Here is a 16,416-nt window from a genome sequence, read left to right on the forward strand (position 1 = left end):
TTGTCACATTTGAAAAGTGGCATATGTTTTCCTGGTAATTACATCTTATATGTTTACTATTCAAAAAATGCAGGTGTGGGTTTTTGAACAGTGTCCAATGACAATGTGCCTGACTGGCAGCAGTTCCTAAGTGAGTCATGTTTCACTGTCTGTCGTTTTTTATAACTGTTTTCACCACTAATTTGGTTCTCTGATGCAGTGTGCAATTAGTTCTATTATGAAAGCAGCTGTCTTCAGTTTTACAATGGCACTTTCCCCTTTGGCTTGCACAGAGCTTGTTGTGGTTCTGCTGATGTGATGATAGGAGTTGTAAAGTGGTACCTAGATGAGCCGCACTGGGCCCGGATCTTCCCTGTACACAGGATTCTTGCTTACTCACTGCTACTCTACTGCTGTTTCTCCCAGCTCAGTTAAAAAGAGGGTCACAAATTAAGTTGCCCCTTGTAAGACGTGTACTGTAAAGATTGGTGACCAGGCCATTTGTACCACTGGAATCCTGTTGTTTATAAAAATTATATTTGAAAATGATGTATTAGGTCAAAGTTGAGATGGGGAGGTACACTGGGCAAAAAATAAAAAAAGGATTGTTGTGTTTGGTTCACTTTCAAACATGAGGTATGATATTTAAGATTCCAAATGAAGCCTGAATGCAGCAAATGCCAGTATATGAACAATAAAAAAATTGAACATAATGTTTGTAGTTAGTTATAATATGCTTTGGATTTTCCTGCTCTCTGAAAGAACATCCTATTTTCACAGGAGTTTCCATGATTTTCGATTCTTAATCCCAAGTCTCTTCTGACATCCAGAATTCTCCAGGAGACCTAGAGCAATGACCATTCTGAGCCCATCTTTCCTAAGAGGAGCCAATAGTTTGAGCTTTCCCTTACAAGCATAATTCCCTATTAATATCTTTAGAACATTGCTACTCAAAGTATGGTCCCCAGACTTGGAGTAACACATCATCTGCAAGCCTGTTAGAAAACAGAATCTATGGCCCCACCCCAGGCCTACTGAATCAGAATCTGTATTTTAACAAAATCCCCAGGAAATCTATATGTATACTAAATTCTGAGAAACCCTACTTTAGAACTGTATTATTTGCTCCCAAAGCCACAGCTATGTCTGAGAACCTGACTGCTACTTATTAGTGATTGTTAATGAAAATCACTGAATTTTACTGAATTTAGAGAACTTGTGATCAACCGAACTATCTGGTTCTTTTAGTTTTTTTAATTGTCCTCTTCTCCCTTTTTAAAATATAAACTCTTTGAGCACAGGTACTTTCCCCGTTTTGCCCATTAAAGTATCTGTAGCGAGTAGAAGAGTGCCTACCGCATATTTAGCAATCAACAAATATTTGTTGAGCTGAACAAGTGAACAAATGACTCATTATAAATAAAATATGTGCTCAGCAACAGAAGCAGATCAAATTCCATAATCCCATGGGGTTTACTCAGAACCTTAGCACATCAGTGCCTGGGGCAAGAGGTGAGGCAGAAATTGAGACAGGGAGCGCATGAGTTCAGAGCTCGTACTGTATTGATAGTCACAGAGGACACCTGGGCTGTCTAGGGAAGAAGTGGCAGCTCTGAAATTTTTTCCCCTGATATTTGGCAAGTGGCAGGGTTATGAGTCTTGCTGGCAAGAGGTAATCCACTCCAGTTGAATCAAAATCTTCCTTGAGAATACTATCCCACATATGCTGTTGGAAAAGCAGTAAAAGGGGTCCAGGAACATGAGGGTTGGTAGAGTGACCAAATCTTTCTAGTTTGCCTGGGACTGTCCGAATTTTAGGACTGGTAGTCTCACATCTCAAGAAGCCCCTCAGTCCCCGGCAAACTGAGGTGGTTTCCCTACTTGAGTGTTTGCCATAGCACCATGTCTGCTGAGAGCCCCTGCCAAAAAGGCGGAGGACTTGGGGCCTTTGACAGACATTTAGATTTTTAGGGCACTTTCGTGATCCAATCAAGAATGTCCAATAACAGAAACTTACCTTGAGGCAGATCTCTTATGTTCATCCAGTGGCTTAAATCCCACTAATTTCATAAAAGCGTTCTTTAATTTTGTCTTTAGATTAATATGAGCAGGGACAGACTTTTTCCACACAAGAGGATGGCTCACTTAAAAGCACCATCTTACAAATCTTAGTTTTGTACTCTAAAGGTGCTAATATTTGAATTGTCTTGGAGGTACACTGCTCTAGGACCTGAGCCATACCTTGTCAGACATGCTTTTACACATTAGAGCCACATGGGTTATTGCCTTAAGTATTTCCAGATATAATTTGACTGCCATTTCCAAATGTTCTTATTTAGTTCTTTTTTTCCCTAAAAACAAATAAAAAGATGGACAGGGTGGGGTGGGATTGTGGCATTATAAAACCAGGTCCAGATTGTTACATTGTAAAGTGCTTTAGTTTGATGAGAATGCTTTTACCTATGCACAATAGCATTTCGGCTATGTAACTAAATGGTATTACTTAATGGTTTAATTTATAAATAGAGTTTCACACTTTTGCCATGAAGTTACTGTCATGGTGGTCAGTGGTCACTATTTAAAGAACATGGGATTGTTGGAAGCTGGACTTTCTTGAATTAAAAATTAGGTTTTTATTAATATAAATGTCTAGGGTTTAAATATTTTAATTTATTCATTAAAATAAGTTCAGCAAGATAGTATAGAAAGTTTGAGAAATAGTGAGGGAAAGTCGTTTAGTACAACTGTTCTATTACAACTGTTGTAATACAATTCTTTAAAATACTATTGTCTCATAGAGTTAATACAGAAAACACTGAATATGATACATGGTTATAATTGAAAAAGGCTAAACAAAGCTATTCCCCAGACTCATGTTTAATTGTTTAACATACCTGAGTGACTTTAGAATAGCTAAGTACTATATTACTGAGCACTTGATAATGGCAAATGCAATTACCAACTGAAGTGCATTAATATTTTCTGAACTGCATTTATTATTTTGATTGCAAAATCGTTTATGATTCCATTCATAAAGCATGATTTTATTATTTGCACTCATCTGTTGGACACTCTTGTAGGCTGTGTTTTCTTGTATTTACAGCAATATTCTTAACTGTGATATTGCAATGTACTGGTATGTCAGAATCAATTATGAAGTGTGTTGAAAGAAGTTATAACTAGCGATAAGAAAATAGTCCAAAATTTACAAATTATTTGCTTTTAAAAATAAATTAGAGTAGCTCCAGATTATCCAAGTCTTTTTATTATGCTGTGCTTCCTTGAGTGAGAGGAAAAAGGAAAGGGTTTAAGTTAGTAAGGCAGGATCAGCTATGCCCTGCCTTCTCTGCTTTTGTACAGCAGTCTGAGGAGTGTGACACACGGGAAAGTAGAAAAATATTAAGAATGATTGGCCTATGCGATCAAAAAGGAAGAATCAGGATGCAGGAAAATTAGGATATTGTCTACAAAATTCAGTTCATTCCTGTTTTGAAGTGTAATGGAAAGAAGAAACCCTTGCACTAATATTCATTCAGAAACAGGTATTAAGCATTCAACAGATACTATGTGCATCAGTTCAGGTCCTCTGAGAAACACTCACCAAGAAGAGATAGACATGCAAGAGATTTATTTGAGGAAATGCTTATGAAGAATAAAAGGAAAGGAAGTAGGAATATACAGGAGAGCACTTAAGACAATGCAGGTCTGACACACATGAAAGGAGAGAGGGAAGAGGGTTAGATAGGAAAGACTTTGACAACAGTACAGTTTTGAGGAAGTTTTGGCCACGTTTACCAAAATTCATTGAGCATAATAGGTTGAATGGTGCACCCTTCCACCCATTCCCCTAAAGATATGTTCACCCGAGACCTTGAATGTGACCTTATTTGGAAAAGGGCTTTGCAGATATAATTAAGGTTCTCAAGACAAGATAATTCTGTATTATCCAGGTGGGCCCTAAATCAAATGATAAGTGTCTTTATAAGAAGACACAGAGGCCGGGTGCAGTGGCTCATACTTGTAATCCCAGCACTTTGGGAGGCCAAGGCTGGTGGATCACTTGAGGTCAGGAGTTCAAGACCAGCCTGGCCAACATGGTGAATGAAACCCTATCTCTACTAAAAAATACAAAAATTAGCCAGGCATGGTGGTGTGCACCTGGAGTCCCAGCCATTCAGGAGGCCGAGGCAAGAGAATTGCTTGAAACTGGGAGGCGGAGGTTGCAGTGAGCCAAGATAGCACCACTACACTCTAGCCTGAGCAAGAGGAGTGAGACTCTGTCTCAAAAAAAAAAAAAAAAAAGAAAAGAAAAAAAAGAATTACATACACACAGAGGTCATGTGAAGACAGAGGTAGATGTTGCAGTTATAAGCTAAGGATCAACAAGGACTGCTGGCAGCCACCAGAAACTAGGAAAGAAGCATGACATGGATTCTCCCCTAGAGCCTCTGGAAGGAACCAGCCCTGCCAACACATTTATTTCAGACTTCTGGCCCCAAAGCTGTGTGATAGACTATATTTCTGTTGTTTTACGCCACCTAATATGCAGTAATTTGTTATGGCAGTCACAAGAAGCTAGTACACAGAGTTGAGGTTGCCCCTCGCAGGAGTCTCACATCCCACAGGAATGGTCCAGTGCCAGCACTCTGTCATGTTCGTCATTAGTGGGGAGTAGCCCAGGGGAAGCGTGGCCTCACCATGAAGGTGGTAGTACATTCAGAGGGGTGGGAGCTGGGGCTACCATTTAACTACACTTCCTACAGGAGTTTCTCTCTTTTTTTTATTATACTTTAAGTTTTAGGGTACATGTGCACATTGTGCAGGTTAGTTACATATGTATACATGTGCCATGCTGGTGCGCTGCACCCACTAACTCGTCATCTAGCATTAGGTATATCTCCCAGTGCTATCCCTCCCCCTCCCACCACCCCACAACAGTCCCCAGAGTGTGATGTTCCCCTTCCTGTGTCCATGTGATCTCATTGTTCAATTCCCACCTATGAGTGAGAATATGCGGTGTTTGGTTTTTTGTTCTTGCGATAGTTTACTGAGAATGATGATTTCCAATTTCATCCATGTCCCTACAAAGGATATGAACTCATCATATTTTATGGCTGCATAGTATTCCATGGTGTATATGTGCCACATTTTCTTAATCCAGTCTATCATTGTTGGACATTTGGGTTGGTTCCAAGTCTTTGCTATTGTGAATAATGCCGCAATAAACATACGTGTGCATGTGTCTTTATAGCAGCATGATTTATAGTCCTTTGGGTATATACCCAGTAATGGGATGGCTGGGTCAAATGGTATTTATTTCCAGTTCTAGATCCCTGAGGAATCGCCACACTGACTTCCACAATGGTTGAACTAGTTTACAGTCCCACCAACAGTATAAAAGTGTTCCTATTTCTCCACATCCTCTCCAGCACCTGTTGTTTCCTGACTTTTTAATGATTGCCATTCTAACTGGTGTGAGATGGTATCTCATTGTGGTTTTGATTTGCATTTCTCTGATGGCCAGTGATGATGAGCATTTTTTCATGTGTCTTTTGGCTGCATAAATGTCTTCTTTTGAGAAGTGTCTGTTCATGTCCTTCACCCACTTTTTGATGGGGTTGTTTGTTTTTTTCTTGTAAATTTGTTTGAGTTCATTGTAGATTCTGGATATTAGCCCTTGTCAGATGAGTAGGTTGCGAAAATTTTCTCCTATTTTGTAGGTTGCCTGTTCACTCTGATGGTAGTTTCTTTTGCTGTGCAGAAGCTCTTTAGTTTAATTAGATCCCATTTGTCAATTTTGTCTTTTGTTGCCATTGCTTTTGGTGTTTTAGACATGAAGTCCTTGCCCATGCCTATGTCCTGAATGGTAATGCGTAGGTTTTCTTCTAGGGTTTTTATGGTTTTAGGTCTAACATTTAAGTCTTTAATCCATCTTGAATTGATTTTTGTATAAGGTGTAAGGAAGGGATCCAGTTTCAGCTTTCTACATATGGCTAGCCAGTTTTCCCAGCACCATTTATTAAATAGGGAATCCTTTCCCCATTGCTTGTTTTTCTCAGGTTTGTCAAAGATCAGATAGTTGTAGATATGCAGCATTATTTCTGAGGGCTCTGTTCTGTTCCATTGATCTATATCTCTGTTTTGGTACCAGTACCATGCTGTTTTGGTGACTGTAGCCTTGTAGTATAGTTTGAAGTCGGGTAGTGTGATGCCTCCAGCTTTGTTCTTTTGGCTTAGGATTGACTTGGTGATGCAGGCTCTTTTTTGGTTCCATATGAACTTTAAAGTAGTTTTTTCCAATTCTGTGAAGAAAGTCATTGGTAGCTTGATGGGGATGACATTGAATCTGTAAATTACCTTGGGCAGTATGGCCATTTTCACGATATTGATTCTTCCTACCCATGAGCATGGAATGTTCTTCCACTTGTTTGTATCCTCTTTTATTTCATTAAGCAGTGGTTTGTAGTTCTCCTTGAAGAGGTCCTTCACATCCCTTGTAAGTTGGATTCCTAGGTATTTTATTCTCTTTGAAGCAATTGTGAATGGGAGTTCACTCATGATTTGGTTCTCTGTTTGTCTGTTGTTGGTGTATAAGAATGCTTGTGATTTTTGTACATTGATTTTGTATCCTGAGACTTTGCTGAATTTGCTTATCAGCTTAAGGAGATTTTGGGCTGAGACAATGGGGTTTTCTAGATATACAATCATGTCGTCTGCAAACAGGGACAATTTGACTTCCTCTTTTCCTCATTGAATACCCTTTATTTCCTTCTCCTGCCTAATTGCCCTGGCCAGAACTTCCAACACTATGTTGAATAGGAGTGGTGAGAGAGGGCATCCCTGTCTTGTGCCAGTTTTCAAAGGGAATGCTTCCAGTTTTTGCCCATTCAGTATGATATTGGCTGTGGGTTTGTCATAGATAGCGCTTATTATTTTGAAATACATCCCATCAATACCTAATTTATTGAGAGTTTTTAGCATGAAGGGTTGTTGTATTTTGTCAAAGGCTTTTTCTGCATCTATTGAGATAATCATGTGGTTTTTGTCTTTGGCTCTGTTTATATGCTGGATTACATTTATTGATTTGCGTATATTGAACCAGCCTTGCATCCCAGGGATGAAGCCCACTTGATCATGGTGGATAAGCTTTTTGATGTGCTGCTGGATTCATTTTGCCAGTATTTTATTGAGGATTTCTGCATCAATGTTAATCAAGGATATTGGTCTAACATTCTCTTTTTTTGTTGTGTCTCTGCCCGGCTTTGGTATCAGAATGATGCTGGCCTCATAAAATGAGTTAGGGAGGATTCCCTCTTTTTCTATTGATTGGAATAGTTTCAGAAGGAATGGTACCAGTTCCTCCTTGTACCTCTGGTAGAATTCGGCTGTGAATCTATCTGGTCCTAGACTCTTTTTGGTTGGTAAGCTATTGATTATTGCCACAATTTCAGCTCCTGTTTATTGGTCTATTCAGAGATTCAACTTTTTCCTGGTTTAGTCTTGGGAGAGTGCATGTGTCCAGAAATTTATCCTTTTCTTCTAGATTTTCTGGTTTATTTGCGTAGAGGTGTTTGTAGTATTATCTTATGGTAGTTTGTATTTCTGTGGGATTGGTGGTGATATCCCCTTTATCATTTTTTATTGCGTCTATTTGATTCTTCTCTCTTTTCTTCTTTATTAGTCTTGCTAGCGATCTATCAATTTTGTTGATCCTTTCAAAAAACCAGCTCCTGGATTCATTAATTTTTTGAAGGGTTTTTGTGTCTCTATTTCCTTCAGTTCTGCTCTTAGTTATTTCTTGCCTTCTGCTATCTTTTGAATGTGTTTGCCCTTGCTTTTCTAGTTCCTTTAATTGTGATGTTAGGGTGTCAATTTGGATCTTTCCTGCTTTCTCTTGTGGGCATTTAGTGCTGTAAATTTCCCTCTACACACTGTTTGAATGTGTCCCAGAGATTCTGGTATGTTGTGTCTTTGTTCTCGTTGGTTTCAAAGAACATCTTTATTTCTGCCTTCATTTCGTTATGTACCCAGTAGTCATTCAGGAGCAGGTTGTTCAGTTTCCATGTAGTTGAGCGGTTTTGAGTGAGATTCTTAATCCTGAGTTATAGTTTGATTGCACTGTGGTCTGAGAGATAGTTTGTTATAATTTCTGTTCTTTTACATTTGCTGAGGAGAGCTTTACTTCCAAGTATGTGGTCAATTTTGGAATAGGTGTGGTGCGGTGCTGAAAAAAATGTATATTCTGTTGATTTGGGGTGGAGAGTTCTGTAGATGTCTATTAGGTCCACTTGGTGCAGAGCTGAGTTCAATTCCTGGGTATCCTTGTTGACTTTCTGTCTCGTTGATCTGTCTAATGTTGACAGTGGGGTGTTAAAGTCTCCCATTATTAACGTGTGGGAGTCTAAGTCTCTTTGTAGGTCACTCAGGACTTGCTTTATGAATCTGGGTGCTCCTGTATTGGGTGCATATATATTTAGGATAGTTAGCTCTTCTTGTTGAATTGATCCCTTTACCATTATGTAATGGCCTTCTTTGTCTTTTTTGATCTTTGCTGGTTTAAAGTCTGTTTTATCAGAGACTAGGATTGCAACCCCTGCCTTTTTTTGTTTTCCATTTGCTTGGTAGATCTTCCTCCATCCTTTTATTTTGAGCCTATGGGTGTCGCTGCACGTGAGATGGGTTTCCTGAATACAGCACACTGATGGGTCTTGACTCTTTATCCAGTTTGCCAGTCTGTGTCTTTTAATTGGAGCATTTAGTCCATTTACATTTAAAGTTAATATTGTTATGTGTGAATTTGATCCAGTCATTATGATGTTAGCTGGTTATTTTGCTCGTTAGTTGATGCAGTTTCTTCCTAGTCTCAATGGTCTTTACATTTTGGCATGATTTTGCAGCGGCTGGTACCGGTTGTTCCTTTCCATGTTTAGCGCTTCCTTCAGGAGCTCTTGTAAGGCAGGCCTGGTGGTGACAAAATTTCTTAGCATTTGCTTGTCTATAAAGTATTTTATTTCTCCTTCGCTTATGAAGCTTAGTTTGGCTGGATATGAAATTCTGGGTTGAAAATTCTTTTCTTTAAGAATGTTGAATATTGGCCCCCACTCTCTTCTGTCTTCTAGGGTTTCTGCCGAGAAATCCGCTGTTAGTCTGATGGGCTTCCCTTTGAGGGTAACCCGACCTTTCTCTCTGGCTGCCCTTAACATTTTTTCCTTCATTTCAACTTTGGTGCATCTGACAATTATGTGTCTTGGAGTCGCTCTTCTCGAGGAGTATCTTTGTGGTGTTCTCTGTATTTCCTGAATCTGAATGTTGGCCTGCCTTGCTAGATTGGGGAAGTTCTCCTGGATAATATCCTGCAGAGTGTTTTCCAACTTGGTTCCATTCTCCCCATCACTTTCAGGTACACCAATCAGACGTAGATTTGGTCTTTTCACATAGTCCCATATTTCTTGGAGGCTTTGCTCATTTCTTTTTATTCTTTTTTCTCTAAACTTCCCTTCTCGCTTCATTTCATTCATTTCATCTTCCATTGCTGATACCCTTTCTTCCAGTTGATCACATCGGCTCCCGAGGCTTCTGCATTCTTCACGTAGTTCTCGAGCCTTGGTTTTCAGCTCCATCAGCTCCTTTAAGCACTTCTCTGTATTGGTTATTCTAGTTATACATTCTTCTACATTTTTTTCAAAGTTTTCAACTTCTTTTCCTTTGGTTTGAACGTCCTCCCGTAGCTCAGAGTAATTTGATCGTCTGAAGCCTTCTTCTCTCAGCTCGTCAAAGTCATTCTCTATCCAGCTTTGTTCCGTTGCTGGTGAGGAACTGCGTTCCTTTGGAGGAGGAGAAGCGCTCTGCTTTTTAGAGTTTCCAGTTTTTCTGCTCTGTTTTTTCCCCATCGTTGTGGTTTTATCTACTTTTGGTCTTTGATGATGGTGATGTACAGATGGGTTTTTGGTGTGGATGTCCTTTCTGTTTGTTAGTTTTCCTTCTAACAGACAGGACCCTCAGCTGCAGGTCTGTTGGAATACCCTGCCGTGTGAGGTGTCAGTGTGCCCCTGCTGGGGGGTGCCTCCCAGTTAGGCTGCTCGGGGGTCAGGGGTCAGGGACCCACTTGAGGAGGCAGTCTGCCCGTTCTCGTATTTCCAGCTGCGTGCTGGGAGAACCACTGCTCTCTTCAAAGCTGTCAGACAGGGACATTTAAGTCTGCAGAGGTTACTGCTGTCTTTTTGTTTGTCTGTGCCCTGCCCCCAGAGGTGGAGCCTACAGAGGCAGGCAGGCCTCCTTCAGCTGTGGTGGGCTCCACCCAGTTGGAGCTTCCCGGCTGCTTTGTTTACCTAATCAAGCCTAGGCAATGGCGGGCGCCCTTCCCCCAGCCTCGCTGCCGCCTTGCAGTTTGATCTCAGACTGCTGTGCTAGCAATCAGCCAGGCTCCGTGGGCGTAGGACCCTCCGAGCCAGGTGTGGGATATAATCTCGTGGTGAGCCGTTTTTTAAGGCCGTTGGAAAAGGGCAGTATTCGGGTGGGAGTGACCCGATTTTCCAGGTGCTGTCCATCACCCCTTTCTTTGACTCAGGGAACTCCCTGACCCCTTGCGCTTCCCAAGTGAGGCAATGCCTCGCCCTGCTTCGGCTCGCACACGGTGCGCACACCCACTGACCTGCGCCCACTGTCTGGCACTCCCTAGTGAGATGAACCCGGTACCTCAGATGGAAATGCAGAAATCACCCATCTTCTGCGTCGCTCACGCTGGGAGCTGTAGACTGGAGCTGTTCCTATTCGGCCATCTTGGCTCCTCCCCCAGGAGTTTCTCTTGAAGGAGACCAGCTGATGCATGTCCATGGCTGCCACATTATGAAACAGAAAAGAAGCAAAGGGCAGAGAATACAGTCTTTGCCTTCCAGAAGTTTAGTTGGGTAAACCAATGGGTGTTACACATGTGAGAATACAAGCATGCATGTGACGGTGCCGGATTACGATATGCAAAGATTCCGAGGGAGTCCAAAACCATCAAAAGGTCAACCTGGGATGAGTTTAATCAGCTGAGCAAAGTAGTAAACTTAGATCAGTGCACAGAAGGTGGAACAAATGGAATGGGTACAGGCAGACAGGGGAGGAGCTGCAGTAAAGTTAAAGAAGAGAATGAAGAGCATGGCCTAGTTGTTTCTTAAAGAGCTGTCTACGAAGACAGAAAAGAAGCAAGGAGAGAGGGAGTTCACAAGGCAGAGAATAAATATGAAGTGAAAAGAGGGTAGAAACATGAAAGAGGCAAGAAGGTCTTCGTAAACTGCTCATTTGTTTATTTTGTTTAAAAAAGACATCTGAGTAACTTCAGACTCAGACCATGATCTGCATGGCAAGAATCCAGGAAGCCTTAGTCTGTTGGAATGAAAAACATTTCATCAGGATCCAATAAATTATTGCATTTATTAAAGAATAAAAAAGGAGCATGGTATTTGGAGTTGGTAGACCCTTGCAGCCCTGCTTATGGACTAATATTGGGTAAGTCACTTAAATTCTGAGTTAGATTTTCATATGTTAAATGGATATAATAAAATCTTTATGTCAGAGTTATTAAGAGGATTAAATGAGCCAGAATAGTTAATGGGCAGTGTAAATTCTAATGTGATCCACAGAGCTAGCTACTATGCTTTAGGAATGTGAGCCACAGTACCAGTTACTATGCTTTAGGGATACACACGTTAACATCTAAATTTGAGTTAAACAGACTTAGGTATCCATAATCCCATCACTCAAAAACAATTACTGTAACTTTTTAGTATATAAATTTTTTCATATTTTTCCCATTTCTATCTAGAGATATATATTTGCATATTTTTCCTGTCTGTGCCTTTACTCCCACCCCCTAAACAAATGAATTATTTTTTGAGACAAGGCCTCACTCTGTGGCCCAGGCTGGAGTGCAGTGGCACAATCTCGGCTATTCCAACCTCAATCTCCCAGGCTCGGTTGATTCTCCCACCTCAGCCTCCCAGGTAGCTGGGAATACAGGCATACACCACCACACCTGGCTAATTTTTTGTATTTTTGGTAGAGATGGGGTTTCACCATGTTGCCCAGGCTGGTCTTGAAATCCAGAGATCAAGCGACCCACCCACCCAAAGTGCTGGAATTATAGGTGTCAGTCACTGCACCTGGCCCAAATGAATTATTAAAACATGTTTTGTTTTTCTCTCTAAATGGCGTATTGTGGACAATCTTTTGTGTTAGTAAATAAAGATCTATATAGCACTTTTAAAGGCTACATGTTGTAGAGAGTACTAGAGCTCACCCATATCTTGTTATCTTCTTCCTGGGCACAGAGAAGGATACACAACCTAGTTCCCTTAAGTTAGGCAGGGCCAAATAACTAGCTCTGGCCAATTAGCTCTAAATGAAAATGTCACTTATAAGTGGAGGCAGTGACAAGCATGTCACTTATAAATGGAGGCAGTGACAAGCCTTTGCAAGTCCTGCTGCAGTGGCATTATACAGAAATGCTGGAGCTATGGGATAGAAACACCTTGAAGAAGGTGCTGCCTTGAGGAGGTCACCAGACACTCAATAGAAAAACCCAAAAAACTTTTAGATGTAAAACCTCCATGACTTCAGAATTTGTTTGTTACAGCAGCATAATCTAGCTTATTCTGAATAATACACTGGACAATAATCCACATGTGGCACGTAGGTTGCTTCAGATTCCTATTATAAATAGTTCCGCAATGAGCATCTTTATTTTTTTCAAATATATCTGATTATTTATTTCCTTTGAATAAGTTCCTGGAAATAGAATATCTGGGTCAAAAGGTATACACACTTTAACTTCTGATACATATTGATTAATTGCTCCTTCTCAGAGTTTGCACTAAAGTTGCAAAGTCACCCAGAGTATATTAGAGTACCATTTATTATACGTGTTTGACAAAATGATACATTTTAATCAACCAAATTTTTAAAAATAAATATGCCTTAAATGCTAATGAGTTTTGCTTTTTTCATAAATTTATTGGCCATCTAAATTTCTTTAGTAAAGTACAATTAATGTCTTTTAGTATACTTTTCTGTTTGGCTTTTTGTTTTATAGTACCAACAGTACTTGATAGGATAAGAATATCAACTCTTTGTTGGCCTATATATTCCAAATACGTTTTTTACATGTTGTCTTTCAATCTCACTTTTAATATTTTTGTCATATGATAACCACTTTTTATATAGTTAAAATTAAGAGTTTCTTTTATGGTTTCTGGTTTTGGTGTTCATATCAGCTTTCTAATATTTTCTGTCTCAAGTTTTTTTTTTAATTGTATTTTAATCATGTGCTTATAGGATTTTGCTTCTTATATTTAAATTGTTAACCCCTATGGCAGTTGTGTGGTAGGGCTCCTATATCAAATATGTTGAATAATTTATCATTTTCCATTTGATTTTAAATAACACCCTATCATATAATAAATTCCCATATATATATTTAGTATTTGTGCACTCCTTATTCAGTTGATCTAGCTGCTGTTCCTAAGCCAGTACGTGCTGTTTAATTTAATTTTAATTTTTTAGAGACAGGGTCTTGCTATATTGCCAAGGATAGCCTCAAACTTCTGGGCTCAAGCCATCCTTCTACCTCAGTCTCCCCAGTAGCTGAGACTTCACGTGTGTGCCACTGTGCCTGGCTCTGCTGGTTTATTTACTGTGGGTGTCAATTTTATTAAACTTACTGCAAACCCCTCTTACCATTACTCTTTTTTAAGAAAATTAGAACTTTCATAGCTATATTTTTATATTATTTCAAGATAATTAGAATAATTTTGCAATGTTCCACATGACAAAATATTTATTGTTTCAAATGAAATCTGCAGAACTACTGCAGTTGAAGCAATGGAAAAGGGGGTGAGGGTTGAAATGCCACCTACTTCTCCACCAGCTGGATCTCTGGGACCACTTGTCAGGAACAATTCAGGGAACTGCTGCTCCAGAAATTCCTCCTGCTCTAATGGACATCCTGTCCCATCAGCAAAGAAACAGAGGCTTATGGTCATTTTTCTAGACTGATGCCCTGGTCCCCTCACAAAATGGCAGAGGCTCTCAAACCTTCGACGCCTATAACCTGCTGCCGCTTCTCACTGTAGTCACTTTGGCTGCAGGTGCTGAGCATTATGAATTGATCACCCCTACCCTTGTATCTGCTTTTCAGCTGACCTAAATAATATCTTCATTGCCTCAGTACTTGAACATCGGTTCCATATTTAAATATTTTCACTTAACAGTAGCTTTGGAATGATTTAAATAACTACTCATTTCTATACTCAGCTGAAGGGAATATAAAATGTGACCCATTAAAGATGCGTTATAGATGGAGAGGTGACAAATATGTGGAGACTTACTTTCCCTGGGTAAAAGGAGAAAGCTCTGTGGTGGCCCCAATATCTCAAGTTACTTTTTTGTCCTTAACACCTAGGTGGAAAAGTCAGGAATCCACCCTTCTAACTATTATTATATATCTAGAGTATTTGTGGTATTATTATTATTATGCACTAAAAGGGATAGAACACTTACCTTTGGTTTCTTTTTACAACTGTAGCACAGAATAAGGAAGGCCTGGTTATTCACTGTTTAGTGAACACACATTCTAGGTCTGGTAATGATCAAATGTGGATCTAATTATTCCACTAATTATAATTCCAATGACCACATGTAATTCATTTTGTCGAGTTAAAGTTTAGAGAGAGTTAAATGGAAAGCCATCTTTCTCTTGCCATAATGACCTTAAAATACATACAGTGTACATTAAAAAATCATATTAATTTGTTAAAACAAGGCAATGGAACATGTGTCTTAATGAGAAGGTTGACTAACCTTTGTTGGAATTTGTTAGAAGTAGATTAGAAGGCTTCCCATTCAGTCATTCATTCATCATTTGTTAATTCATTAATATTTTGTGACTGTCTAATATAAAATACTATTCTATGTATGAAGGATACAGTGCTATGGATATATAGCAGGGGAAAACTTATGCTATAATGGAGTAAAAGTTTAGCAGGGAGAGATAAAAATTGAAAAATAATAAGTAAAAACGATATCACCCACTGTATGATAAGCGCTACGCTAAAAATTAAAAAATAATGAGACATGATAGAGATTTCCTCCTTTGGATTGGATGGTCAATGGAAACTTCTCTCTGAACTTGGCCTTGAGCCAATATATGAATTTCCATATTCAAGGGAGACACTCATATGAATATCACAGAAAGAACCTTACAAGTGGATAGGAAAACTGGAATAAAGCCATAGGGTGGGGAGAAGTTTGGTAAGTTTCAGGAGGCCACTGTTACCAGAATATAGTGAACAGAGGGAGTGTGGTGCAAGATGAGTTTCAGCAGATAGGTAGGAGCCAGACCAGGTGAGTGCCACCATGCGTGGCTCTGTTGTTTTATTTACCATAGATGTAGATTTTTCTAAGCTTAGTGCAAATCATCCTCCAATAGCTTTCCTTCGTACATCCAAACTAGAGGACTTTGCAAGCTAGGTTAAGGAGTTTGAATGCTATCCCAAGTATGAAGGAAAGTCATTGGAAGATGATAAGATGTGAGTAAAATGTTTTGATTTAATAGACAGCATGCTGATTGCTAAACAGAGAATTGATTAAGAGGGTCAAGATTCAAATGATGCAGTCATGGGTGGGGGAAATGATGATGCTGGGAAGAGAGAAAATTTGTTGGAGAAATGTTCCTGAGTAGACAAGAGGTGACATGCAAAAGGATGGCCTTAGAACAAACTATTCATTCATGACAGGAAGAAAAACAGGTTAATCTAGATACAAGGAGGTGGGTAGAGTGGCATTAGGAGGGTTGGGAAGGTATATTCTGATTGCTTCTATTTTTTCAGTGAAATAGGAAGCAAGGTCATTATTGAGAGTGAGGATGGGGAGGGATGTGCTGGAGGTTTGGGGGAAAAAAAGGAGAAAATATAAAATAGTAACCTAGGAAAATGGTCATGGCAAGTATTATGACTGCCAGGCAGCATAAACAACACTCTTAAAGCTAACAATCATAAATATAAAATGAGACCAGTCAATATGACTATATTTTTCTCCAGCCAAATTCAACTATACAGAAGTACATGGGAATACAAAAAAATTTGGAATTTATCAGGGTCGATGTTTGTTAAAACTAGAGAGGGACAAGAGGGTTCAGGATTTATGCTAGTCAGCGATTTTAATGATGGACCATGGAATATTGGGTGAAGTTAGGAGACAGGACTCATTAACATTAAGGTTTGTTAGGCATCTGTGTTAGAACAGCACGTGTAACCATTAAATGAATAGATATAGAATGTTTAACTCCCAAAACAATGGAGAAGGAAAAATGGAAAGAGAAAAAACTTCAAACAAAAATTCAAACTGTTAATACTCACCTTCTTGTATATAAAGAGAAATCCACCCAGATTAGCCTAT

At 39.5% G+C, this 16,416-nt stretch overlaps 1 protein-coding gene across 4 annotated transcripts in view, besides 1 other annotated feature; it reads right to left on the bottom strand.

Annotated features, from left to right (window-relative positions):
* The window catches only part of SEM1 (SEM1 26S proteasome subunit), a 228,221-nt gene that overhangs the window by 65,817 nt on the left and 145,988 nt on the right, over positions 1-16,416 (bottom strand). Inside the window, exon 4 of one of the 4 annotated variants that reach the window (NR_163950.1) lies at positions 10,675-10,814. The exons of the other annotated variants lie outside the window; for them this stretch is intronic. The gene's annotated coding sequence lies outside the window, so the exon portion shown is untranslated. The remainder of the gene's footprint in view (positions 1-10,674; positions 10,815-16,416) is intronic. 4 annotated transcript variants of the gene reach the window in all.
* Positions 10,510-11,098: an enhancer, noted in NCBI's record as "H3K27ac-H3K4me1 hESC enhancer chr7:96187264-96187852 (GRCh37/hg19 assembly coordinates)". NCBI's record gives its function as "activates a minimal SCP1, AML or CMV promoter by ChIP-STARR-seq in primed H9 embryonic stem cells {active_cell/tissue: H9 hESC(primed)}" and the evidence as "EXISTENCE:reporter gene assay evidence [ECO:0000049][PMID:30033119]".

Source organism: Homo sapiens, chromosome 7 (genome assembly GCF_000001405.40).
Source record: "Homo sapiens chromosome 7, GRCh38.p14 Primary Assembly".
Lineage (NCBI taxonomy): Eukaryota > Metazoa > Chordata > Mammalia > Primates > Hominidae > Homo > Homo sapiens.